The sequence below is a fragment of the Homo sapiens genome, chromosome 6, assembly GCF_000001405.40.
Source record: "Homo sapiens chromosome 6, GRCh38.p14 Primary Assembly".
NCBI lineage: Eukaryota > Metazoa > Chordata > Mammalia > Primates > Hominidae > Homo > Homo sapiens.
The window spans coordinates 167026922-167053941 of NC_000006.12; the positions used below are offsets into that span (position 1 = coordinate 167026922).

The following is a 27020-nucleotide window of genomic DNA, read 5'->3' on the forward strand; positions in this document are numbered from 1 at the left end:
ATGGCTAGTAGGTTACCTTTGTCCAGTCTTGGCATTCAGGGAAGACTTCTTATAAGAAGTGACTTCTGTGCAGAAGCTTCATGGTTAAGTACATGTATAAGAGAGAAGGGAAGATATTTCAGTTCAGACTGAGAAAAATTTGGGCAGAGGCAGAGCCATTTGCTAGATGCTGGTAGTACATGGTCCAGGCCTCAGAGAATTCAGTCTAGTGGGGAAACAGACTTATTGAAAGAAAAATTGTGAGATGTGTTCAGTTCTGTTCTATGGAGCAGAAGTTGGTAAGCCTGCCATGTAAGTACATTCATTCCTATGGAAGTAAGAGTGTCGATGTGAACATTACCGAGCCCTGGGCCATATGTTGAGAGCACATTTCTCATTCAGTGTTCTGTTCTGTGCAAGACTGTAGCAGTGTGACAGGCATACTTTAGGCAAACTCATTTATGTAAAGGCAAACTTGGTGACCTGAAGGAAACGGTGCAGCCAGGTTCTCAATGGCCACTTCCTATGCTCTCTGTGGATGTGATGGGATCCCTTCCTGGTCTGTAATCACTCACATGGAAGCATTGGAAGAGCTTCACAGGCAGGTTAGGGAGAAAGAAAGGTGTGTCCCCATTTGCTTTTAAAACCCAGCCCTGTCCAAGGGGCAGCTCCGAGAATGCCCTTCCCTCTTCTGGAGAGACATTCTGGATAGTGCAAAGAACTTGGGCTTGGAGTTGGATAGAAGTGACATCTCAGATGTGGCACTGATTGATGGGTAGCGTAGGGAGATAAACTAAACTGCTATTTCCTCATCTGTTAAGTGGAACTAATAACATCTGCCTTGTTTTAAAGAGTAAATAGGATTTAAATATCTCTTCATATGTAAATTAAAGTACAGTGGCTGGCATGGTAGGTGCCTAGTAAATGTTAGTTTTCTTTTTACGTTACTTTTCCCCCCATTTGCAGAAGAATAAATGTTCCCTGAGCTGCCCGGATTCTTGTTCCGCACAGTGCCCTGGAGTCCTGGTAACTGAGTTGCTGGTTGTGCTGCCATCTGCTCTTTGTGCGTCCTGGTTGCTGGCTGGCCAGCTAGGTGGGCCTGCCTCCTTTCCCTCCCTTGTGCTTTTCCTGTCAGCTGTGGTCATGGTTGCCATTAGATGTTCTTTTCCACTAAATCTCAGTGGCTAACTGCCACCAGAGACTTTACTCCTGACCTCTGCACCGTGATGGCCGCCTTGTCCCCTTTGTGTTCTGTTTTTTTCACTTTTGTGGTGTTTCACTCTGTTGCCAAACCTTTTAGCTTTTTTCTCTGACTGCTCTATTCTCTTACCAAAGCGAGGGTTTTCCCTCCTGTTTCTGAGTGGGGAGCTGCCGAGAATTGTCATCCTCAGGAGGGAATGTCGTTGCTGGGGCTGCAGAGTTGCTGGGTACAGGCAGGAGGGTGGTGTGCTCCTTCACTTCACTTTGTCTTGGGACTTAGGCATATCTCGGGTTGGAATTGGGGTAGTTATGCAGGTGAGAACTACCAGTTCACTAGCTGGATGTTTGTCATTTAGCTAGGCATTAGGATTCAGTAGAAATAAAGTTTTATTTCGTTTTGCAACAATGTTGTTTTCTGTTTGGGTTGTTTACATTTTAAATATACAGTACTCTAGGTATTTTGAGTAATATGTAGACAGATGTTAGTGGACCAGCCTAGGAGAATAATGATGTTAGTGGTAAGTGCCTGGCACTGTACCAAGGAATTATTTTATTTAATTCATATCCTATGAGGTAGGTTTTATTACTATCTCCATTTTTACAGATGAAGAATCTAGGTTAAGTAACTTGCCCAAGGTCATGCTGCTTTTAGAGTCCTGATGCATCACACAGAGCCCTCACCACTGTGTTTTACTGCCTGTATGTTATTTAGACATATTGAAATAATCATTTCAATGGGAACATAAATTCTGAGTTCCAAATAAATAATCTACAAATAAAGCTTTAGAGCACCATCTATTTTAGTTTGGCAGACAAATATTAATTAAAGGTGCCCAAAAGGAGTGTTTATAGATAGGTACTTTGCATATTTAAAGCAAGAGTTGCTAAGCTTTTTCCGTAAAGGGCCAAATAGTCTATATTTTAGGGTTTGTGGATGGCATGTACTGTCTCTCACATAGTCTTTGTGTGTTTTTTTGTTTTTTTGTTTTTTAACAATCTTTAAAAATGTAAAAGCCATTCTTAGTTCACAGGCTGAACAAAAGCAGGTCATCAGCCAGAGGCAAGAATGAAAGTAAGGAAAGCAGAAGGCTGTCAGGAAGTCCGGGCCAAAGATGACTGGGGTAAGGGCAGATAAGACAGAGGGTATGGGATGGGGAGGAGAGACTGTCAAAAAATGAAGAAAACAAGAATCCTTGGCCTGAGGGCCAAAATTTGCTGACCCTTAAAGTAATGTAGTACAGGTTGAGTATCCCTTAATGCAAATGCTTGGGACCAGAAGTATTTCAGAGTCTGGATTTTTTTGGATTTTGAAATGTTTGCATTTTTCTTACCAGATGAGCATCCCAAATCTGAAAATCTGAAAGTCCGAAATGCTCCAATGAGCAGTTTCTCTGAGCATTACGTCCCCACTCAGAAAGTTCTGGATTTTATTCAAGTTTGGTTTTCAAATTTTTGAATTTGGGATGCTTAACCTGTATGTATTCTGTTAATCATTTTGACACTGGCTTAAATTATTGTAATACTAAACAATACATAACCAAGAAGTCAGAATCTGATGTGTTATAGCACATTATTCAGTAAATATCTTTGTCTCATGTGTCTGTCTGAAGAGACCACCAAACAGTCTTTGTGTGAGCAACATGGCTGTTTATTTCACCTGGGTGCAGGCAGGCTGAGTCCGAAAAGAGAGTCAGCAAAGGGTTGTGGATTATCATTAGTTCTTACAGGTTTTGGGATAGGTGGTGGAGTTAAGAGCAATGTTTTGAGGGAAGGGGTTGGATCTTACAAAGTACATTCTCAAGGGTGGGGAGAACTACAAAGAACCTTCTTAAGCATGGGGGAGATTATAAAGAACCTTCTTAAGGGTGGGGGAGATTACAAAGTACATTGATCAGTTAGGGTAGGGCAGAAACAAATCACAATGGTGGAATGTCATCAGTTAAGGCTATTTTCACTTCTTTTGTGGATCTTCAATTGCTTCAGGCCATCTGGATGTACACGTGCAGGACACTGGGGATATGATGGCTTAGCTTGGGCTCAGAGGCCTGACAATCTTGTGTTTTGAATTGGCTACAAATGCTGCCAGGTGGGGAATCCAGTTAGCTTTCTTTAAATCCACATTGCAGCCACAGCCGTCCTCGCTGTCTCAGCTCAGTGTCCACCTCTGCTCTCCTCACTGGCCTTCACACATAGGAACACTACAATGGGTCCTTGGAGGCTGACATTTTAGTAGCTGCCACTCCTGGTTTTACTTAGCGCTTGCAAACCAGCCACATATGTAGTTTGTTTAATCAGATTTCCACTTCTCCTTCTCGGCCCTGACAGTGCCTGGTTTCTGGCAAGCACTTGCAGCCCTTTAACCTTTGAGGCTACAGTGGAGACGAGCTCTTGATTCTCAAGAGGAGAGGAAGCTCCTGACATGTCCCTCCTGACTGCTTATGATCAGGGATTTCCAGTTCATTACTGGGCAAGGTTTGGATGTAGCAGGAACAAGGACTCATGTTTTCTTCGTTTGCTGATATTCTTCCCACCCCATATCATCTACCCGTCTGTCTTATCTGTGGGACACCTGCCTTGACCCAAGCCTTTTACCCCTGTTCTCTTTGGCCTGGACTTTCTGACAGCCTTCTGCTTTCCTTACTTTCATTGTTGCCTCCTGTACACATATTTCTTCTGGCGGTGGTACGATTATCTCTGGGAAAACAGAAGTGAGGTAGTGCTACCCTGCACTTTTTCACTCCTGTCTTCCCCCACCCCACCCCATCCCTTTGTACAAAGCTTCCCTTTGTATTCAGGCTAAGATCCTTATTGCAACCAACCAAGCCCTAATGATCCGGCTTCTGCCAACCCTTCTGATCGCCACTCCTTTTTTCTTCCTCCACCCATTCTGTCCCCCAAATTCATTGTTTTATGGTTGTATGGCTTCCTTACTGGTGGTTTTTACATTTTTTTTGAGACAGTATTTTAAAAATTAAAATTTAAAAAATAAAATAAATTTTTAATTTTTGAGGGGGTCTTGCAATGTTGCCCAGGCTGGTCTCAAACTCCTGGGTGCAAGTGATCCTCCTGCCTTGGCCTCCCAAGTAGCTGGATTACAGATGTGCGTCACTGCTCTGGGCTGCACTGGTGGTTTTTCAAACCACCGCACCCTCCCCCACCTCAGGGCCTTTCACATGTTTCCTCTTGGAACACACTGTCCCCAGTAATTTGTACCTCTGCAACCTAGGTTTCCACTCAGTTGCTACCTTGGAGTTCTTCCCAATTGCACTAGCAGTATTTGGTTTGTTCCACTGTTCCTCTTCACTAGAGTGTTTGCTCCCTGAGATCAGAGATACCATCTTAGTCATTGCTATACCTCTAGGGGACCTAGTCATCACTCAGCTGGTTGATAAATTAATCATATGATTTGGCTGTAAGAGAATTACATTGTCTAACTGTCTGGACAGAGCTTGAATCCCCTCAGCAGTCTGACCGATTTAGAGACAGTCCAGCCTTATCTGAGGGAAGATCGAGGACAAGGCCCGCAGGGTCTTTGAACGGCTCTCTGTCATGCCAGGTCTTCTTTTTGTGATCTGCATCTTCTGCATGTGGCTGTACATGCTTCCTGGGTCTTTCATAGGCCATCCATTCACATTTTAAGTTGGCTCTCATGTGCCTCCAAGTCTGCTTTGAGGCTGACAACTCTTTTTCCTCATCTAGCCCTCAGAAGTCCTGGGAGGGAAGGGCTGCTGATTTGCAAATTTGTCCTTTATAGCCTTAAGTTGATCTGAAGGTGCCCCCTCTGTCAGAGGCTTGTGGTGCACTTTGAGAAACTGGTAACACTGCCTCACTATTCACCATCCCACCTTCATTCAGTTGCCTTTTATTAAGATCTTACTGTGGACCAAGGTCTCTGTTAAGCACATCATGTACCTGAATCCTTATGTTAACTCTGATTGGTGTGGCTTTGGCTGTACGTCAGAGCAGAGGACATGGCCCAGAAAGGGCACCTCACATTCCCAGGTCACAGAGCTGTTGAGTGGCAGGTCTGAGGCCTGAGCCTGGCTCTGTCTGACTGAAGGTGCCCTTATTTGCTGTGCTTCATGGCCTCTTCACACCTCATGAGTGTTTTTTAACTTTTATAACAAAACAATTAGCATGTTGAAAACGCTCAGTAGTTCATCTAGTACCTAGAGGGGATTGATGATGACTTGCTATTGCTATACGCCATTAAGTCAAGGGACCTTATTAATGGTGAGTGTGCCCCATGTTAATTGCCTTAGAGTACCCGGAGTAAAGATGAGGTGTTAACCACATTTTATAGTCACTTGTAACAGTTTATTATTTCTTAGGTATTTCATTTGTCATTTGTCTTCATATTATATATGCTTAAAATGTTATTTCTAGTCTGGGACTTTTTAAATGATGCAATATAATTAATTTTTTTTAAGGAAATGTGTGTTTAATGGTAGGTAAATTGTGACGCACATTAGATATAACATATCTTTTCTTAAACTTATCAGGAACTGGAGAAGATGATGACTATGTTGATGATTTTAATAGGTAAGAAAAACTATTGGGCAAATATATAAATATATACGTTATTTGTAAACAATTTCCGAACACAGACAAGACAAAATTACATTTGGTGCTTATTTTAATGTATTTGATTCTGTTGTTCATATTGATTGAAGATGAAGAAAAGATAGTTAATCCAAAATTAAATATTTGATTTTAGAGCATGTTTTTGATTTTACATTAGAATATAGACAGTCACATTATGTTCAGGAAACTTGGTAAGAAGAAGAGAAACAATTGAAGAATTAACTGAGAAGTCATTTAGAAGCAGTTCAGTTGCCGTGTCATAAGTGCTGATTTTCTCTTCCTTCCATACCTTTTTGTGGCGGGAATTGTCTCAAAATTGACCTAAAATAATTATGCTCTCAAATTAGTTTTTTGATTCAGATCACATTTCCTAATATGTGGATATGTGGTCTGCCCTAATAAGATTGCCATTCTCTTTTTTTTTTTTTTTTTTTTTTTTTTTTTGAGACAGAGTCTCACTCTGTTGCCCACGCTGGAGTGCAGTGGTGCGATCTGGGCTCACTGCAACCTCCTTCTCCCGGGTTCAAGCCATTCTCCTGCCTCAGCTTCCCATGTAGCTGGGATTATAGGTGCGTGCCACTACGCCTGGCTAATTTTTGTATTTTTGGTAGAGACAGGGTTTTGTCGTGTTGGCCAGGCTGGTCTCGAACTCCTGACCTCGTGATCCACCCACCTGGGCCTCCCAAAGTGCTGGGATTACAGACGAGAACCACCATGCCCTGTCGATTCCTTTCTTATACACAGAAAGATAATATGTAATGTAGAAGTAATATTTGTTGTGGATATGATTCGAAATTTTAAATTAGATGCCTGAGAATTTTATTTAATTGACAGGTTATCTTTCCAATTGGAAGTCTGTATTTTTTTTTATAATTTATTATACAGTTTTTGAGAAAGAGCATGATGTAGTAGATGAAATTGTAAAAATCTGGGTTTGTTTCTTTCTTGCTATTGTGACCAAAGTCACTGCTTTGAACCTTTGTCTCCTCATCTGTTACATTGACTTGACTGCTGCTGCCCTTGCTACATTATTTTAAGGGTCAAGCAAGACAATATGTATGAAATTAATTATAGTTAATATTATATTTTACTTAAAGGATTAAAAGAAATATCTGAATGTTTAAAGAATAGTAATCTCTTTAAATGTTTATTTTCAGAGTTCTTATTTTTTTTTCCCCTTCTGAAATTAGTACCAGCCATCGCTCAGAGAAAAGTGAGATAAGTATTGGTGAAGAGATAGAAGAAGACCTTTCTGTGGAAATAGATGACATCAATACCAGTGATAAGGTATGGTGTTCTGCATTTCCCATAGAGTGCTTTTTTTTTTTAACCTATTTGTCGATTTACTGTAAAGCTTCAAAATTCATACTAATTAGTAGAAAAACAGTTGAAAATTATGAAAAGTCATGACAGAGACCTGGCTCGAGTTTATAAAGAATGTCTTTGATGAATGTGTAAGATTGGTTTTGGTTGTCACTTCCTTTGGTATGCAAGTCTCGCTGCTGAAATGCCTGAGGATTATTCCTGGGGCACTGGGATTGCTGTGGATTAAGAGGGATCAGGGTGGGTCAGGCTTAGTGAGAATTGACCACCTGGTGCCATAGGTGGAAGTCAGTATAGGGTACTGTGATCACAGGAGGAAGCTGAGCCTGGAGTGCAGAGAGTGTGGTCATCTTGGCCAGTTGTGACATCTGAACAGGCAAGCCAGACTGGGCTAAAATCCACAGGAGACAAGACAGTAGGCCATAAAGTTAGAGTCCGTATTTGAGATCCAAACTTTACCTTTTTATGTGGGTGGAGAACAGAAGATCCTTCGATGGTGAGCTGTAGCATTGCAGGGTCACCTGTCAGTACCCACTTCAAGCTGTCCCCAGCTCAGAGGAGTCTACCAGTCAGGTTGGAGGTTGCCATGGCTGGGTGGGGACTTGCTTTCCAGAACATGGTGGGATTCTCCAAGCGCTGTGATTGTCACACAGGGAGAAGGCCTTTGAGAGAGGTAGCGTTTACAATGCAACCACACAATCTAAGTCAGCAGCATCCGTGTTTGCATTCTTATTCTTTCATATATTTTCTTATTTAAGCTTTAACCTTTGACTCTCAGTTTCTTTACTTGTAAGATGGAAGTATTAATACCTATGTGATAGGATTATTTTGAAGGTTAAATGATAATATATAAAGCACTTCTCTAATTCCTGATGTATTATATACCCTTATAATTATAAATTTAGCTTTCTCTTTTCACCCTGCATCATCCTAAAGAGGCCTGAAGAATGTTGCTTTAAAGTTATACCAAAGAAACTATGAAGGATTCTTTAAATATGAGGGAGAGGACTCGAAGAAATGACTGTTAAACTAGGATTTGTGAAATGACGTGGGTTGAAGAGGAGGTGTGGCATCCCTTTGCCATTGGGGGCCTTGGATGGCGTCCAGGAGTCTGGGCTTTGTTAGACTGCTTCTCACTGGGTCCTACTCACTGGGTTTGGCACATCAATGTTCCTAGGAGTTTTCACTTAAAAGCTTAAATTTAGATAATTTTGCCATTTACATAGATTGGACTTTGACAGTCACTGTACTTCATCAGGAAGCATTTTCTAAAGCCTTCTGTGTAGAGAATTGCTACTGGGCACCTGGGGAACACAAAAGCATTTGTATTCTTTGCAGTAAGAATACAGCAGACAATCTGGTCACCTTTCAGCCAAGGTGACCAAAACCAGTGTCCATTAAGCACCTACTATTTAGAGAGCACAGGGCTGGGGATGTGGGGGTGTGAGGAAGGAGATAGCCCAGTGGAATGGGCAAGTTCTGTAAGTTCATCACATCTGGGTTTGAGTTCTGGAGCTGCTACTTACCACTCACAAATTTGGCCAAGTTATTTAACTTTTTTTTGTTTTTTTTTTTTTTAGACAGAGTCTTGCTCTGTTGCCCAGGCTGGAGTGCAGTGGCGCTATCTCAGCTCACTGCAAGCTCCGCCTCCCGGGTTCATGCCATTCTGCTGCCTCAGCCTCCCGCGTAGCTGGGACTACAGGCGCCTGCCACCACGCCCAGCTGATTTTTTGTATTTTTTTATAGAGACAGGACTTCACCATGTTAGCCAGGATGATCTTGATCTCCTGACCTCGTGCTCTGCCTGCCTCGGCCTCCCAAAGTGCTGGGATTACAGGCGTGAGCCACCGCGCCCAGCAAGTTATTTAACTTTTGGGGCCTTGGGTCTCACATCTATTTTGCAAGAGAGATGGTGGTAGTGAAAATTAGAGATAAGCGTGTAAAGCATATAGCTCAGTGCTTAGCAGAACAGGCATTCAATAAATGGTATCTAATACTATTATTCATTGTAGTCACAATAGACATTTCTGTCGTAGGCACAGATATAGACTTCTTCCCTCAAATTTATGCAGGATCAGAGAGAGAAAAGCCATGTACACAAACATAGGAAAATCAAGATAAAAAGTGACAGGTGCCATAAAATGCCAGTCATTCATGGGCCATGAAAATTCAGAAGCAGGAACTAATATTTGACCGGGATTTTGAAAGATGACTCTGACTTGGTTCTGCGAGGGCTGAGGAGGAACATGGTAAGCTCCATGAGAACAGAAGGGAGATCCCGGGACATGTCAGTGCTGCCCTGATTCCAGAGCTTCACTGGAGGGTGCTGTGTGAAGAGACAGAATGTTGGGAGGAGCAGGGTTGTTAGAAGGTGACTTTGAACCAGAAATGACAGAGGATGAACTAGGAGCAGAGGCCCTGGGGAGGGTAGTCTCTGCACGGGAGCCAGCACGAGCAAAGACATAGGTAGATGTTGGAGGAAGAGGGCCACACGTTCCTAAGGGACAGAACATAAGTGTGCATCCCAGGTTTCTGTTAATGCATAGCAATCTAATTCAGCAAACGTGAACATTTACACTTCATAAAACTTTTCAAAATCTTACAAGTTCCCGTCGATTTGTATGAAGCTTGCTATCACAGGGATCCTTTGTTTCCCTTTCAAGACTCAAAATGTACGTTTTAGATATTTTTATTTTGTGATGTAAAATCTATTTTTATAGTTTTGAACTAAGTTGGTCACTTTGAGTTCTTATTCTAAAACTAAGGAGGCATGAAAGCCGCCTTTATTAGTTTTGTTTTTGTTTTTGTTTTTGTTTTTGAGACAGAGTCTCACTCTGTTGCCTAGGCTGGAGTGCAATGGCTGGATCTTGGCTCATTGCAGCCTCTGCCTCCTGGGATCAAGCAATTCTACCTTAGCCTTCTGAGTAGCTAGGACCACAGGCATGTACCACCATGCCCGGCTAGTTTTTGTATTTTGAGTAGAGATGGGGTTTCACCTATGTTAGCCAGGCTGGTCTCAAACTCCTGGCCTCTTGTGATCCCCCCGCCTTGGCCTCTCAAAGTGCTGAGATTACAGGCGTGAGTCACTGTACCCGGCGGAAAGGCTTTATTAAATAGCCATTTATTTCTAGTTAGCTTTTGTTCATTCAGTTTTCTTTCTTGGTAACTACTTTAAATGAAACTGTTCTTCTTGGAAGTTTCTGGTTATTATTGTGGTCTTTTCTTTGCCTTAAAGCAAAACTAAATTAATGATCTCCAATAACTGAATTATCTAGATTAAGATCGTTTTCAGTCCACGATTTTTCCTGTATTCACTCTTGTCTGTAGTTTAGCATTTGTATTAATATAACACTCAATTACTTTGTAAACGAGATGGAATACCTTACTGATTTCACTCTGTAATAATGATGGGAAGAGAAAATTACAGTTCCAAGGTATCAGTTTGTTTTACAGTCTGTCTGCAAGCTTTTCTGACTTTTCAGTTTTTGTGTAAATTGGATTTGAATTGAATGCATAAGAACTGTAATTAAGATTCCTAATAATTTTCTTTGTGAGATAGTTTTACAGCAGGACTATGTTTGGACCAAGAGAAAGGGCAAGGACTTATTTGTTGAAAAGGATTTTACTTACAACTTAAATTTCTGAATATCCGAAGAATAACAAAATGAGAGGATATGTGGGGGGCAGATGAACAGACAAATAAAAGCATCTCACAGTATCTCGGGATGAAACTGTTGCATCTCTACAAGATGTTCCTATTCTTGTGCGTTATTACCTGGCCCAGGTGTTGGCACACTTGTTCTCTAAAAGGCCATATAGTGAATATTTTAGGCTTTGCAGGCCATAACTACTCCACCTTGCCATTGCATGGAGAAGACAGCCATAGACGATGCCTAAGAGTGTGTGTGTGGGTGTGGCTGTGACTGTCCCCTGGTCTGTTGCCACAACAATGAGTCTAGGTGGGACTGGGAAGGTTGGGTTCTGTCCTTGTTCAGCTGTCAGTGGGACCTGCCCAGCTGTATGTTCTATATTCTGGAGCCTGTATATTCACCCGTGGTTTTTTCCTTAGTTAAGAAATGTTTTCCCAGCCTGCATTATGCTTACATATCTATTAATATTTCCTTTCTCCATTATCATGAGTTGTTTATACAAATGAATAGATATAAGTTGGTTAATAGGTTAACTTTCTAGTTTACAAGTAGTTTAAACAGAAGTAGAAATGAGTCGTTTCTTACAACACTTTGTGAACCCGGGGCTGGGAGTCTGAGACTCCATGGGCCGTCCTGTCTGCCCTTCTGTTTTCACTTCATGATCTGGCTTCAGGTGGCACAGTGTTAAAGTGTGTCACACCATGTCGAGTTTGATGTTAGAAACTTAACGTTCTATACCGTCATATGAAAACATAAGAAGGGATCGTTTCCAAATTATACATTTTAATGAATTTTCGTGAAATTTAACGTGGGTAAATTATGGTTTTAGAGTTAGCAATTCATAGAGTGATACTTCCTGTGAACAGAATCATACATTGGGACTATGCTCAGGTAAAGAAGTTTAATACAGTTTTTCACTAATTTGTTTCTTAGATTAAATTGGAATAATGGCTAAGATGTGTTTTATTTTAAATTTTCACTTGAAATATTTGAGAATAATCATAAAACATTGGGCTCTAAAGATTGTACTAACTTAGTAGACATGATTTTAGGCAAATCGCTTCTCAACACAGCTTTAAATATGAGTTGGTTTATGAAGTATAAAGTAATACTTTACAGCAACAGTTTTTTTAATTTTTAGTTTTTTATTTCTTATTTCCATAGGTTTTGGGGGAACAGGTGGTGTTTGGTTGCATGAATGAGTTCTTTAGTGGTGATTTGTGAGATTTTGGTGCACCCATCACCCTAGCAGTACACACCGGGCCCAATTTGAGCCTTTTATCCCTCACCCTCCTCTCATTCTTTCTCTGGAGTCCCCAAAGTCCATTGTATCATTCTTATGCCATTGCATCCTCATAACTTAGCTCCTGCTTATTAATGGGAAGATGTGATGTTTGGTTTTCCATTCCTGAGTTACTTCACTTAGAATAATGGTCTCCAGTTCCATCCAGGTTGCTGCAAATTCCATTATTTTGTTACTTTTTTTTTTTGAGTCGGAGTCTCGCTCTGTCACCCAAGCTGGAGTGCAGTGGTGCAATTTCGGCTCACTCCAACCTCTGCCTCCTGGGTTCAAGCGATTCTCCCGCCTCAGCCTCCCAAGTAGCTGGGACTACAGGCACCCGCTATATTGTCTGGCTAATTTTTGTATTTTTGTAGAGACAGGGTTTCACCATGTTGGCCAGGCTGGTCTTGAACTCCTGACCTCAGGTGATCCGCCTGCCTCAGCTTCCCAAAGGGTTGGGATTGCAGGCATGAGCCACTGCGCCTGGCCTATTTGTTCCTTTTTATGGCTGAGTAGTATTCCATGGTATGTATATACCACAATGTCTTTATCCAGTTGTTGATTGATGGGCATTTGGGCTGGGTTTCATGTTTTTGCAATTCGGAATTGTGCTGCTGTAAACATGCGTGTGCAAGTATCTTTTTCATATAATGACTTCTTTTCCTCTGGGTAGATACCCAGTAGTGGGATTGGTGGATCAAACAGTAGTTCTACTTTTAGTTCTTTAAGGAATCTCCACGCTGTTTTCCATAGTGGTTGTACTAGTTTACATTCCCACCAACAGTGTAAAAGTGTTCCCTTTTCACCACATCTTCACTGACATTTATATTATTTTTTGATTTTTTGATTATGGCCATTCTTGCAGGAGTAAGGTGGTATCTCATTGTGGCTTTGATTTTTTAAAATAACTTAAGACTACTCACATTCTGACACTTAATTATTTTCTTTCTTTTGAACAACAAAGCTTGATGACCTCACACAAGATCTGACTGTATCCCAGCTCAGTGATGTTGCGGATTATCTGGAAGATGTTGCATAGACACGAAGAAGGAAGTATTCTAATTAACAAGGACAGAGGACTGACCGGTTCCATTTTTTTTTTTTCCAGACAATCACTCAGCTGGAATGTCTGCTCTCTATTGGTGCCTTGCATTTCAAAAACACTGCAGATATTTTTTAAAAGTAATTTTCATTTTACTAAACAAAATACTTCCTATTTGAGCCCATGTGTGGAAGATTTAATATTCTTAATTTAACTGTACATTTCTTTATGGAAATTGATTATCTACACTCAGTTTCATTACAGGGAAGGAACCCATGAAAACATCAGTGTTAAGAGCATGATGAAAGGTGTCAATAAAGCCGTAGGATCGCGCAACCCTTTGTGTGTGTGGCTGCTGGTACGTGTGATCTTTGAAAACCTTGGCTTTAGCCCTCTGGAATCAGAGCTTACCCACCATAGTATATTTTGATATTAGGTGGTTCTACACATAGTTGGCAAAATGACTTGGTAAATTTGTAATGCTGAAGTATATTAGTATAAGTTAAATTTGATGTGTCAACTTTATTTTGTATTTCCTTCCATTTGGAAGGTTTGTTAGACCATTAAGGTTATATTAAAGTACTCTTGTGTGTGCTATTTAGTTTTGCTTGTTTTAAAGAAATCTAGAAGTGGTTATGAGTTTTAATTCATAGAATTGTCAATAACATAACATTTGCAATCGTCATTCCTCCTGTTATCCATGTAAGCAGCTTTAGTCGTAGGTTCTCTTCATTATAATTTATTATCTGTAAAGATTCCTTGAAACTTAAATGCATCTGAAACCATTAAGCAGTGCTTTTATTTCAGATCTGTAAGTTAATTGTATTAAAATCCAAATTGGAATGAAATAGTAGTAATGGCCTAAGACCATGTTCAGTTTGACAAGCTTTATATACTGTACATAATTTCATTGTAACCCTTAAAAATAGAGCCAATAATAGAATTTCCACAGTCTCATTTATACGGTTAAAGCATTATTGCTATTATGTAGGTCACGGATGTTTATAATACTAAAGTATTTTAAAATGTGCAAGTAGAAAAAACAGTAGAAAGTGATGCATGCATATTTATATATAAGTAAAGCAGGATTGTGCTGTTTTTGCACTTTATAATTTCAATTAAGTTGCGGCTTTTTACTACAAGTTAACTTTATTAGTAAAAGGAGCAAATTAGACCTAATTCATTGATCTCGGTTAAGTGAGCAGACTGCATGACTTGTGTAATGCCAGTTTCTCATTTCATATTAGCCTAAATATTACAGAAATTACTCCTTGGGCTCTAAAATGTAGAGGAAATGAAAATGTAAGGATTAAGGCTGTGTAACAGAATCTGGCTTTTTAAAATTTAAGTGAAACTAAGCTGTAAACATCAAGAGGAAGTAGGACATAAACTGGGCCGGTACAGCCTGGGAGCCCTGTGTATTTCTGCCCTCCGTCTGTGAGCTGCTATCTCAGTCTCCTTCAGCTCTTCATGTCTTAGTAAACAGCACCACGTGCAGATGTAATCTTGTTGCAGTCCCCCAGTGTGGTTGTTATAAAATGCATTTCTTTGTAAGTCATCTCTGTAAACAGTCACTTTCTAAAAGCACTATAGTTCTGGTCCCCTGGAATCTGGATCACATGTATGATTTATTTTTAATATTTGATAGGAACTAGGTTTCAGTGAAATGATTTGAAAGCATAGCAGGATGTGGCTTTTTAAATTTATGAAACTTTCGAACAGTAGCAACTGAAATTTGTCACTTTTCTGTTACGCAGAGAATCAGACCTTTTGATAATATTTGGGAGGGTAAAAGAAATATGCCAAATATGAAACTTTTTTGTCAGCACTACATACATCTTTTTTTTGCGGGGGGCGGGGGGGACAGAGTCTCACTGTGTCACTCAGACTGGAGTACAGTGATGCGATCTCGGCTCACTGCAACCTCCGCCTCCTGGGTTCAAGCGATTCTCCTGCTTCAGCCTCCTGAGTAGCTGGGATTACAGGTGCACACCACCACGCCCGGCTAATTTTTGTATTTTTAGTAGAGATGGGGTTTCACCATGTTGGTCAGGCTGGTCTTGAACTCCTGACCTCGTTCCTGCCTTAGCCTCCTAAAGTGCCGGGATTACAGGCGTGAACCACCGCACCTGGCCAGTACTACATCCATTTTATTGAATGATTTTGAATGACTTAAAGTTCAACTATGAAAAAGCTTTCTTTTCACATGTACTTTTTGATTAGGTATTATCAACTTATGAAACTTGAAGATGTGAAGTGACAGGTTTTGCATGTGATGAGTGTTTTCTGTTAAAAAATAAATATTGAAATATTAACCCATTAAATACATTTTTATGGTAACCTATGTTTTACAGTGGAGTTTTAAAAATGCTAGGTCTTTCTTTCATTTTATTGATAACTACAAATGAATAAAAAGCATTTATTCTCTTTGTTGATATTCGGTTGTGCTTTTATACTTTATGTTGGATAACAACCTGTGGGCAGTTGTGTAGATGCCATTAGTCCCTGCCTCATGCTTGCCCACAGCTCTTCCTCCCCTCCTTACTTCCCTCTCCTGCCCATGCACCAGAGCTGTGCCAGCCCACTGCTGCACAGCCTCTGCACCTGAGCTTGCCAAAGCCCTTCCTGTCTCAAGGTGTGATATTTGCCCCTCCTTGTCTGGAATGTCCTTCCCCTAGAACTGCATGAAGCTGGTTTATTTCAGTCTCATGTTCAAAGACGCTTCCAGACCTAAGGGAGATGTCCATTCTCCTCCCTGTCCCTGCCCCACCACTTGCATTTACCCCTTTTATTTTATTCATCTCAGCATACTCTGAAATGGTCTTGCTTATTTTGTGTGTGTGTGTGTGTGTGTGTGTTTAACTATGAGCTCGTGAGAACAGGGATTTTCTTTTAAACTGCTGTGTACCTGGCACAACATTTGTCCCCTAGTATGAGCTTGGCATCTTTGGGGCTGTAAACAGGCTTGAGCACTGACATGGGGCCTGGAGAATGTGGTTTCTGGCTAGGCAGCTGGAACAATCTACAAAATCTGAGGGGAAAGCTGTCCTTACCCTAAACCTGGGGAGGTCCCTAGGTTCAAGTCTGCAGGAAGGGGATCTGGTTCAGGAGAAGGCCGTCCTGTGAATTTGCCCCACCCACCAAGCTCAGCTGGAGCAGGGCCTCTGAAGGAGGTGCCCTCTGTGTGGCTCTGCTGTGGTGTTGGTTCATGAAGGACATGGGAGGGGGGCAGGACAGGAGAGGCAGCTCTTCCTGGAGAAAAACACACCCAGCCCAAGTTGGAGCCCTCCTGTGGCATTGGGTGGGGAGGATTCCCGCCATCAGTTCTCTGTCCATGGGTGCTAGTCTCACCCCTGCCCTCCGAGCAGTCCGTGCTCCCAGTGTCCCTGTCCTCTTTTTTTTTTTTTTTTTTTTTTGAGGTGGAGTTTTGTTCTTGTTGCCCAGGCTGGAGTGCCATGGGGCGACCTCGGCTCACTGCAACCCCTGCCTTCTGGGTTCAAGTGATTCTCCTGCCTCAGCCTCCCAAGTAGCTGAGATTACAGGTGCCTGCCACCATGCCCAGCTAATTTTTATAATTTTTTTGTAGAGACGGGATTTCACCATGTTGGCCAGGCTGGTCTCAAACTCCTGACCTCAGGTGATCCACCCGCCTCAGCCTCCCAAAGTGCTGGGAATACAGGTGTGAGTCACGGTGCCCGGCCTAGTCTTCCTGCTCTAGGAAGGGACGTGTTTGGGGAGGAAATCCAGGGCAGCTACCTTTGTGAGTTGTCCTAATGCTGCGTTCAGAGTTCCACACGTTCAACAAGCATCTGACATTTAAGGAAAGTGAATGTATGTCATGAAAGACAGATGAACAAAGAACTGATCTTGAAGAAAATGTAATCAGGAAACGAGATAATTCAAGAACAAAAACCTGTGAAGGACTGAATGTGTCCCCCAAAATGTGTATGTCGAAACCTAATCCCACATAGGATGGAATTAGGTAGGGCCTCTGGAAGTTGATGAGATCATTAGCGCCCTTATAGGAGGCCCGGGAGAGCTGCTTTGCCCCTTCCAGCGTGTGAGGACACAGTGAGGAGGTGTTGCCTATGAGGAAACAGGCCCTCCCAGATGGTGAACCTGCCGGTACCTTGATCTTGGACTTAAGCCATCTGAGCTGTGAGCCCTACACTTCCATTCTTTATAAATTATCCAGTCCAAGGTACTTTAGGAACCTGAATGGATTAAGACAAACCTGATTATGCCACTCCGAGATTTGAGGTAACATTTGAATCTAAAAGAGGCTATATGAAAGAGGTTATAATAAAAATGATTTTTGACTAAAAAATTGTTGGCCTAAGATAATTCAGTAGCAGGGCTGAATAATGGGATGACTCAAAATCAGTAAGCTCAAAGGCAATTTCAAAGAAATCTTTATGTTTAGCAAGAAGACCAAGATGACAAGATGCGCCAGGAGACTTGGCCAGAGGACCTCCAGGCTGACAAAGTTTCCCCGAGGAAGTCAGATTGGAAAAGTGTCCTCAGGTTCAAGGAAACCTGGGTGTGCACCGGGTGAATGAGAGTGGCAGACAGAAGGAAACAGCAAGGCCTCTGAGGTAGGAGGGACAGCGTTTTTGAATGTGAAATTTATTCCCTGATACATGTTTTTAAAAATGAATCTTGCTGCCCTTAGAAAATGAACCCCCGAACAAGGTAAGGTCGAGCTGGCCCCTCGTGTCATCCGACTTTGCGTTGTGGCCCTGCCTGCAGAAACGTGTGCTCTGCTACAGCCCTGGGAGGAGGGGCCGGGCTCCCAACTCCTGCCCCGCTTCTAGCACATGCTGTGCTTGGCCACTTCTCTGCCTCTTAGTTTAACAGCAGCACTGGGCAAGGTTTGCCCTCTGCACACCAGACCGGCTTCCCAAGAACCGGGGAAGAGGAGAGGGCATGCCTGGGGCCTGAGCTTAGTGGGCCGGGTGGAGGCAGGAGGTACTGCATGGAGGAGCGTGGACAGTGGCATGCAGGAGGCCAGTCATTCTGCGGTTTTAGCTGGAGGTTTGTTTTTGGTAGTTTGTAGAATCATCAGATTTGATGATGAAACTTTTTTTCCATAAATGTTAAATTTTCAGACACTTGTATTTTTTTTTTCCTTTTTTTTTTTTGAGACTGAGTCACTGTCGCCCAGGCTGGAGTGCAGTGGTACTAGCTCGGCTCACTGCAACCTCTGCCTCCCAGGTTCAAGCGATTCTCCTGCCTCAGCCTCCTGAGTAGCTGGGATTACAGATGTGTTTCACCATGCCCGGCGAATTTTTTTTGTATTTTTAGTAGACACGGGATCTCACCGTGTTGGCCAGGCTGGTCTTGAACTCCTGACCTATGGTGATCCGCACCCCTCCCCGCCCCCCCCGCGGCCCAGCCTCCCAAAGTGCTGGGATTACAGGCATGAGCCACTGTACCCAGCCCTGTATTTTCTTTAAAAACCAATTTTGGGCCGGGCACGGTGGCTCACGCCTGTAATCCCAGCACTTTGGGAGGCCGAGGCAGGCGGATCACGAGGTCAGGAGATCGAGACCATCCTGGCTAACATGGTGAAAACCCATCTCTACTAAAAATACAGAAAAAAAATGAGCTGGGTGCGATGGTGGGTGCCTGCAGTCCCAGCTACTCGGGAGGCTGAGGCAGGAGAATGGCGTGAACCCAGGAGGCGGAGCTTGCAGTGAGCCCAGATCACGCCCCTGCACTCCAGCCTGGGTGACAGAGCGAGACTCCGTCTCAAAAACAACAACAACAACGAAAAAACGATTTTGGCATGTTTTGTAAGTTGCCAGACTATTGGATATACCTCTTAATCATACTTTGTTTGAAATCCTTTGTGGTTTCTAAAGCACTAGTAGCTTTCTGAAAGGAAAATTTTTAATGAATGAAGCATGCTTCATCCTGCACATCCCCTCCTGCCCCAGCACCCCTACTGCCCATGCGCCTCTCCTGCCCCAGCACCCCTACTGCCCCAGTGCCAGGCCTTTTCTAGCAGCTCTCATGGGTTCATCCCTGCTGCGGGCATTGCTCCACCAAGGGGCAGTGCTCTCCCTGCCGGTAAGTGTTGGAACTTCACGTTTCCCTCTAGTTTTCTCTTTACATTTTAACATACACTATTATGTGTCAATATATTAATTATATATTAATTACATTTATAGAGGTTAGGTATATATGGCAGATCATATCTGAGCGTGAATTACATTCTCCAATATTTTTATTTGTCATGATTTATTGCAGGGTTCACTTATTTGATCTACCCCAACTTAACACACATTTCCAAGAAAATATCCATCACACTAGAAAGAAAGAAAGAGGAAGGAAGGAAGGGAGGGAGGGAGAGAAGGAGAAAGGAAGAAAGGGAAGGAAAATGGAATGGAGGAAGGGAAAAATGGAAGGAGGAAGGAAGGAAGGGAAAGAATGAAGAAAGCCATTTGTTCCTGCAAACCTAAACCTCTTTGTAGTAAGTTCTGGCAGAAGGTGTGTTTCTGGAGTTAAACTACAGGCTTGGAAATGGAATTTCTTAGCCTAATTTCTAAATTAGAACTGCTTATGCAAATTAACACTCCGTACATTTCAACAAGCAGTTGGCTGATTTCTTCTGTCCACTCCACCTGCAGATGCAGAGGTGGCCCCATCCTGTGATGTGCCACCACATCCCTTTTCAGTGAAGGGCTTTGTTGGCTGCTGTGGGCATTCTCATGGCCTCTCCAGGGATGGCCTCCACTGTAGAGACCTATGTCACCAAGGCCAGGCCCTCTCAGGGGGCTCCATCCAACGACCATTCTGCCTCAGGGTAAGAGGCCCGGCCCTCTCAGCCTGAGTCCATTCTGGCTCCAGAGCTCCCTGAGAGCTTGCCTGGCAAGTTACTCTTGCAATTCTAGCTTCCAGCAGGCGTTGATTTCTGGGGCACTTTTGATAAACTCCTGGCAGGAAACTCAATCTCTGGGGGTCAGAGTCCACTTCCTGGGGAGCCCAATCTGTGACCCCTAGGAGTGGGGACCATGGAAGCACTTGGCTCTCCAGCATGTGCTGAATAGGGGGCGCTGCCTGCAATGTCCACGTGGAAACCTGGCTGGGAGAATGCCTGTGTGCTCTGCATGGGGATGTAAAGGTGTGAGCAAACCTTCTTCAGAGAGGGGATGTTCAATGCGAAATTTGAACATTGGGACCTGAAAAACTGATGGGCTGATGGGGTCTGCCCATGATTGGCAGCCTTCATAGAATCACGAGGGAGGAGCACAGGCCACCCTAGACAGGAGGGGTCCCCTACTGACAGGGAGGTGCTGTCGGGGCAGCAGGCACGTGCAGGAAAACGGAAAAGCAGAGTAATTGAATGTAAATCATGCAACTCCACTACAGTGGCTAGAAGCCTGGATGGGCAACTTGGCTGAGTGATGTTGGGCAAGTTATTTAATATCAGTATTCTCAGTTTTCTCATCTGTAAAGGGGATTAAATACTTCCTTCCCTTACAGGGCTGCCCTGGTCTTAAGTAATGCCCACAGAGAGCTTAGCATTGTTCTTGGCAAGTCACTAGTACTCAGTAAATACTATTTTTATTAAGAAGGTAAGATTCACAGGACTTAGTGTCTTAACTAGATGTTGAGAGTAAGGAGAAGAGAGAATACTTCTCGGATGATTGTTCAGTTTCTGATGAATGTCTGTTCCCCTTTCAAAACCTAATTCAGATGTCACTTCCTCCTCAAAGCTCTCGCCCCGCGCCGAGCTACTGTGATGTATTTTTATGACCTGGCAGCTTTTTTCTCATATCCCTGTTAGCGGTATGTGGTAAGAACATGAGACACAGAATCAGAAACCATGGATTTCTGGTCTTGACTCCACTACCACTCAGAGGAACCTCACGGTGGATGCCGTAAGTGTTTACACTGAAAAGGATTTTCACGAAAACCTGCATTTTCATTTCGTTCACAAGAGAATTATGAGACTAGAAAAACAACAATTCTTAGTATACCACAGACTGTGGTGCCTAGGAATAACAGACAAGCTTTAACTCACACGATGAGCATCTTTATTTAGCTCTGCTTTTAGATATCTGCATGATAAAGATGAGTGATCCAACGTTAGAAATCATCTGGACATTAAAACTGAATTGTAGGCAGGCGTGGTGGCTCACACCTGTAATCCCAGCACTTACGGAGACCAAGGCGGGCAGATTGCTTGAGCTCAGGAGTTTGTGAGACTAGCCTGGGCAACATAGTAAGACCCCTATCTCTACAAAAAATATAAAAATTAGCTAGGCATCATGGCCTGTGCCTGTAGTCCTAGCTATTGAGGAAACTGATGCAGGAGGATCATTTGAGCTCAGGAGTTTGAGACCATTCTGGGCAATACGGTGAAACCCTGTCTCTACAAAAAAATGCAAAGATTAGCTAGGCATGATGGCACATGCCTGTGGTCCCAGCTACTCGGGAGGCTGAGGCAGGAGGATTGCAGGAGGTTTGCTTGAGCCGGGGAGGTCGAGTCTGCAGTGAACTGAGATTGCATCACTGCACTACAGCCTGGGTGACAGAGTAAGACCCTATCTCAAAAAAAAGAACTAATTGTAACAAACTATCTTTCAAATTATATCAAAACAGTGATTCATAAATTCCATGTTGCCCAGAGATCATGAGGAGCTCTTCTATGATTTGACAGTGCAATTACTGAAGGGGAAGACACCATGCAAATACATGGTAAAAATATTCAAATTATTACTGATTTGACACAAAATATTGATGTAAATAACATAAAACTGTAATATGCCATTATGATGACATTAATGAAAAATTGGTTAATGAATGTCATTGAAAGAGCATGTACATCACTAAATGTTCTTAGTCACTGAAAGTGTGAAATAGCCTCTAAACTCATATGTGGAAAAAGAACTTGAAAAAGGTTTCCAGAAATGTGACAATTCTAGTACTTTCATGACATTTTAAAAAAGGGATTGTAAAGACTGATGAAACCCTTAAAACCTCTCAAGAATTAAAAATCATTTTTGATCAACAGAGTAAACTGATTTTTTATCTCTGTTGAAAGATATTTTTAAAATCATTGTCCTATGGAAAAGTCATATAGAACGTTTGCTGTTTAATGTAGCACAGATGTATCAAAAAGCCATGCCAGGCAGTTATAGATATCTTAGTTTTCTGGATTTTGTGACGTTTGTGGTATTTGTCAGATTTTTAAAATTTGTGATTTGTTGGGATTTGTTCCTCATTCACAGGTAATTTTATATACTTTTGTATTCACTTTCGAAAAGAAGGCAACTCTAAATTTTATGAACTTCAAGTGCTATAAAACAATTACCACAGTAAATTTTGAAAAATTCACCCCAAAAAGAAACCTTGTATCCATTGGCAGTAACTCCCTATGCTCCGCCATTCCTCTCAGCTCCCTGTCTGGCAACCACTTCCTGTCTCTTCAGAGTTGCCTCTTCTGGACATTACATATAAACGGAATTATACACTATGTGGCCTTTTATGACTGGCTTCTTTCACTTAGCATAATGTTTTCAAGAGTCATCTGTGTTGTAGCATTTGTCAGTACTTCATTTATTTTTGTTTCCTAACAATACTCCATTGTAGGGATTGACCACACTTTATCCATTCATTGGTTGATGGACATTTGGGTTGTTTCCACTTTTTCTGCTGTTGTGAATAACAGTGCTAAGCACATTCATATGCAGTGTTTGTGTAGATATATAATATGCTTTATTTTCTCTTGAGTACATAAAAGTGGAGCCTCTGAGTAATATAATAACTCTATGTTTGGTGTTTTGAAGAATTGCTAAATTGTTTTCCAAAGCAGCTGCACCATTTTATATCCCTACCAGCAATGCATGAAGCTTCCAGTTTCTCCACATCATCACGAATACTCCTTATTCTCTCTCTTTTTAGATATAGACATTCTGGCAGGTGTGACATTGTATCTCTTGTGGTTTAGATTTGCATTTGGAGCATGTCTTATGTGCACTTAAAAATATTAATATCTATTCTGCTGTTGTTGGGTAAACTGTTCTATAGATGTTGATATGGCTTCGCTGTGTCCCCACTCAAAATCTCATCTTGACTTGTAATCCCCATAATCTCCATGTGTCAAGGGTGGGACCAGGTGGAGGTAATTGGATCATGAGGGTGGTTTTCCCTACTCTGTTTTCATGATAGTGAGTCTCACAAGGTCTGATGGTTTTATAAGCATCTGGCATTTCCCCTGCTTGCACTCAGGCTGTCCTGCCACACTGTGAAGAAGGTGCCTTGCTTCTCCTTTGCCTTCTGCCATGAGTGTAAGTTTCATGAGGCCTCCCCAGCCATGCTGAACTGTGAGTCAATTAAACCTCTTTCCTTTATAAATTACCAAGCTGCGGCTATTTCTTCATAGCAGTGTGAGAACGGACTAATACAGGTGTTTTTTAGGTCTTGTTATTGTGTCGTTCACGTCTTTTATTTCCTTGTTGATCTTACTCTTAGTTGTTCTATCCATCATTGAAAATGGGGCATTGGCCAGGCGTGGTGGCTCACGCCTGTAATCCCAGCACTTTGGGAGGCCAAGACCAGCAGATCACTTGAGGTCAGGGGTTCGAGACCAGCGTGGCTAACATGGAGAACTCCTGTCTCTACTAAAAATACAAAAATTAGTCAGGTGTGGCAGTGCGTGCCCGCCTATAGTCCCATCTACTTGGGAGGCTGAGGCAGGGGAATTGCTTGAACCCTGGAGTCAGAGTTTGCAGTGAGCTGAGATCATGCCACTGCGCTCCAGTCTGGGTGACAGAGTGAGACTCAAAAAAGAAAAAAAAAAAAAAAAAAAAAAAGAAAGAAAATGAGACATTGGATTTGTAAGTTTCTGACAGGTTCATTTTGCCTGCTGCCCAGATAGAGCCGATTTATGAGGACAGGGAAATTGCAATAGAGAAAGAGTTTAATACATGTAGAACTGGCTAAACAAGAGACTGGAGTTTTATTATTACTCAAATCAGCCTCCACAAAAATTTGGAGGCTAGGTCTTTTCAAAGATAGTTTGGTGGGCAGGGGTTTGTGTACTAAGAAACTAAATGTTTCTTGTGTACTAAGTCAGCTTCTGGGTGGGGGCCAGAGGACCAGTTGAGCCAAGAATTCAAGAGGTACAGGTTCAAGTAGGGCCATCTGGTTGTCAGAAATGCAAAAGCCTGGAAAGTCATCTCAAATGTTAGGTTCTACAATAGTCAAGTTATTTATAGTAATTGGGAAAGTTGCAAATCTTGTGACCTCTGTAGAAAATAGGTGGTAATCTTTACACCTATATCTTAGTAGAATTCAGGCCCCTCACTTCCTCCTAACCTGGTAGCCTTTCATTAGTTTTACAAAGGCAGTTTAATTTTGGGGGGCAGGGCTATTATCATCTAAACTATAAACTATAATCGTTTGTCCCAAAGTTAGCTTGGCCCATGCCCAGGAATGACCAAGGGCAATTTGGAGATTAAAGTCAAGATGGAGTTGGTTAGATCAGATCTCTTTCACTGTTATAATTTTCTCACTGTTAAAATTTACAAAGGCAGTTTCAAAATCTGAAACTTTTATTGTTAAATTATGTATTTATTCCTTTAGTTCTGTCATGTTCTGCTTCTTATATTTTGGAACTCTGTTGTTAGGTGCATACATATTTATAATTGTTATATCTTCCTGATGGATTGGTATTGTAATCACTGTAAAATACACTATTATCATTGTAAAATATTCCTTTTTATCTCTAGTATTTTTTGTCTGTTTGACTTAAAGTCTATTTTGTTTGATATTAGCATAGCTATTCTTGCTCTTACTGTGGCAATTTGTATGATACCTTTTTCTTTTAGCCTATTTATATCTTTGAATCAAAAGTTTGTCTCCTGTAGATAGCATATAGTTGGATAATTTTTAGTTCTTTTGATTGGATTGTTTAATTCATTCATTTTTAGTGTTACTATTGATATGGCTGGATTTGTGTCTGCAATTTTAATTTTTGTTTTCTATATGTCTCGTGTTTTTGTGGCTTTGCTTCTTCTTCTTTGCTTTCTTTTGCATTAAGTATTTTCTAGTTTAACAACTTAATTTCTTAAATTATTTTTAACTATATTTTTACGTATTTCCTTAATGAATGCTTGATGGCTCACAATCTCCTTCTCAGTTTATCAGAATCTACTTAAGTTTATACTAACTTATGTCCAGTGAGATAGAAACACATTTCTTCTTTATAGCTCTAGGTCCTCTTCACTTGTTTTTGTGCTATTATTGTTATACTTACTACCTCTGTATATGTTACAAGCCCAAGAATACTATTCTACTTATTTATATAATTTTATGTTTTTTAAAGAACCTGAGACTGGAAGTGAGGGAAATAGGGCGTGCAGGAAGGAAGGAAGAGGAAGGAAAAGTGTGTGAAAGGGGGCTCCACCTCCTTTAGTGGATACCCTGAGCTTATTTCCAGGGGCCTTTGTAAATTCCCAGTGACAACTCTTTGGAAGATGAAATCCCCCTCTTCCCTGCATCTTATTAGAACAGTGTATCCTGGAGGACATCCCTTGCCTTTCACCAAGTGACCCTATACTGGCGGCAGAACTTCTCGATTTTGCGGATTTCAAAATGGCTCCACGTACTCATAGTTTTCATGACAGACTTCATTGCGATAGTCAAATACTGTTCCACTTACTGCAGTTGCCTACAGTCTGGGTTTTGTTCAGTTGAAATTAAATAAATTTTATGCACAAACCTTTCATGGCTGTCTGCGATCTTTTAAAAAATGTGAACATGTACAGGATGATAAGTTCTAAGGATGTATGTTCTGCAAAGCCTCAGAGCAGGAAGTAGAAGTACACTTGTACATTAGAAGATGAATATGCTTTTGGAGTTTGGACTCCATTTTCTTTTTTTGTTCTTTCTTTCTTTCTTTTTTTTTTTTTTTTGACAGAATGTTGCCCTGTCCCTCAGGGTGGAGTGCAGTAGCACGATCTTGGCTCACTCCAACCCTGCTTTCTGGGTTCAAGTGATTCTCATGCCTCAGCTTCCCGAATAGCTGGGATTACTGGTGCCCACCACCACGCCTGGCTAATTTTTGTATTTTTAGTAGAGACGGCTTTTGCCATGTTGGCCAGGCTGGTCTTGAACTCCTGACCTCAGGTGATCCACCTCAACCTCCCGAAGCACTGGGATTACAGGCATGAACCACCACGCCCGGCCTGGACCCTGTTTTCTACATTTTAGCACACATATTCCTATAGAGAGATGTACATAACCCACTGACATACCAGGGAACTTTTGAAATGTAACCTTTCAAAAACTGAAGCTTGAGAAACTTTGTTTTGTTGTACTCTGTATCAATGGAGGAGGCATGTGTTCTATAATTGATAATAGTTAATGAATGTCTTCTGGGCTTCATTGACCCATACATTACCTTAAAATCAAATGATGATTTCTTAAAGTCTAGACATTCCCTAGAAATGGGAACATTCTGAGTTTTAAGTGCTAAGTCAGAATAGGTGTTAAAATGAGCCTTTGGAAAAACAGTTTGTCAGTTTGCACACATCTATGTTTTAGGTGCAATAGCAAATAAACACAGTACATGAACGAATGAGTGCTCATGGGAAATAAGAGGTGGTCTTATCTAAAGGGAAGTACTGTGGGCCATGGTCGGAATCCTAGGGTTCCGGATCCTGCCATGCCACTCGCTGGCAGCCTGGTTGGCTTCCCCGGGCTCCACCTTTCACCAGCGGGAGCGGAACTGTTTCTCATTGTTTCCACTCTGGGCTGTTGGAGCCCCAGGGCTCTCAGGGTGTTTCAGGGGGCTGTGGACAGGGAGAGGAACAGCACTTTTCCCCTAAGATTTACAAAGAGCAATTCTCCTTAAACAACTGGTTTAGGAAAAGCTACTGGACTAAGTTCTCCCAGCCCCAACTTTCTGGCACTTTAGAAACTGTCCATTTCCACCGAGTGGCTGGCC

The 27020-nt window shown here is 41.9% G+C and overlaps 1 protein-coding gene across 3 annotated transcripts in view, besides 2 other annotated features; it reads left to right on the forward strand.

Moving 5' to 3' along the window:
- Positions 1-25797, forward strand: part of CEP43 (centrosomal protein 43) — a 53322-nt gene extending 27525 nt beyond the window's left edge. For 2 of the 3 annotated variants that reach the window (NM_007045.4, NM_194429.3), the window contains 3 exons: positions 5682-5721; positions 6954-7050; positions 12983-25797. In NM_007045.4, the coding sequence (NP_008976.1) occupies positions 5682-5721; positions 6954-7050; positions 12983-13057 (212 nt within the window). In that variant the 3' untranslated portion in view covers positions 13058-25797. The remainder of the gene's footprint in view (positions 1-5681; positions 5722-6953; positions 7051-12982) is intronic. The other variant, NM_001278690.2, reaches the window with a different exon arrangement.
- Positions 20705-20854: an enhancer, noted in NCBI's record as "active region_25445". NCBI's record gives its function as "activates an Ori minimal core promoter by ATAC-STARR-seq in GM12878 lymphoblastoid cells {active_cell/tissue: GM12878}" and the evidence as "EXISTENCE:reporter gene assay evidence [ECO:0000049][PMID:35858748]".
- Positions 20955-21034: an enhancer, noted in NCBI's record as "active region_25446". NCBI's record gives its function as "activates an Ori minimal core promoter by ATAC-STARR-seq in GM12878 lymphoblastoid cells {active_cell/tissue: GM12878}" and the evidence as "EXISTENCE:reporter gene assay evidence [ECO:0000049][PMID:35858748]".
- Positions 25798-27020: the final 1223 nt, after the last annotated feature.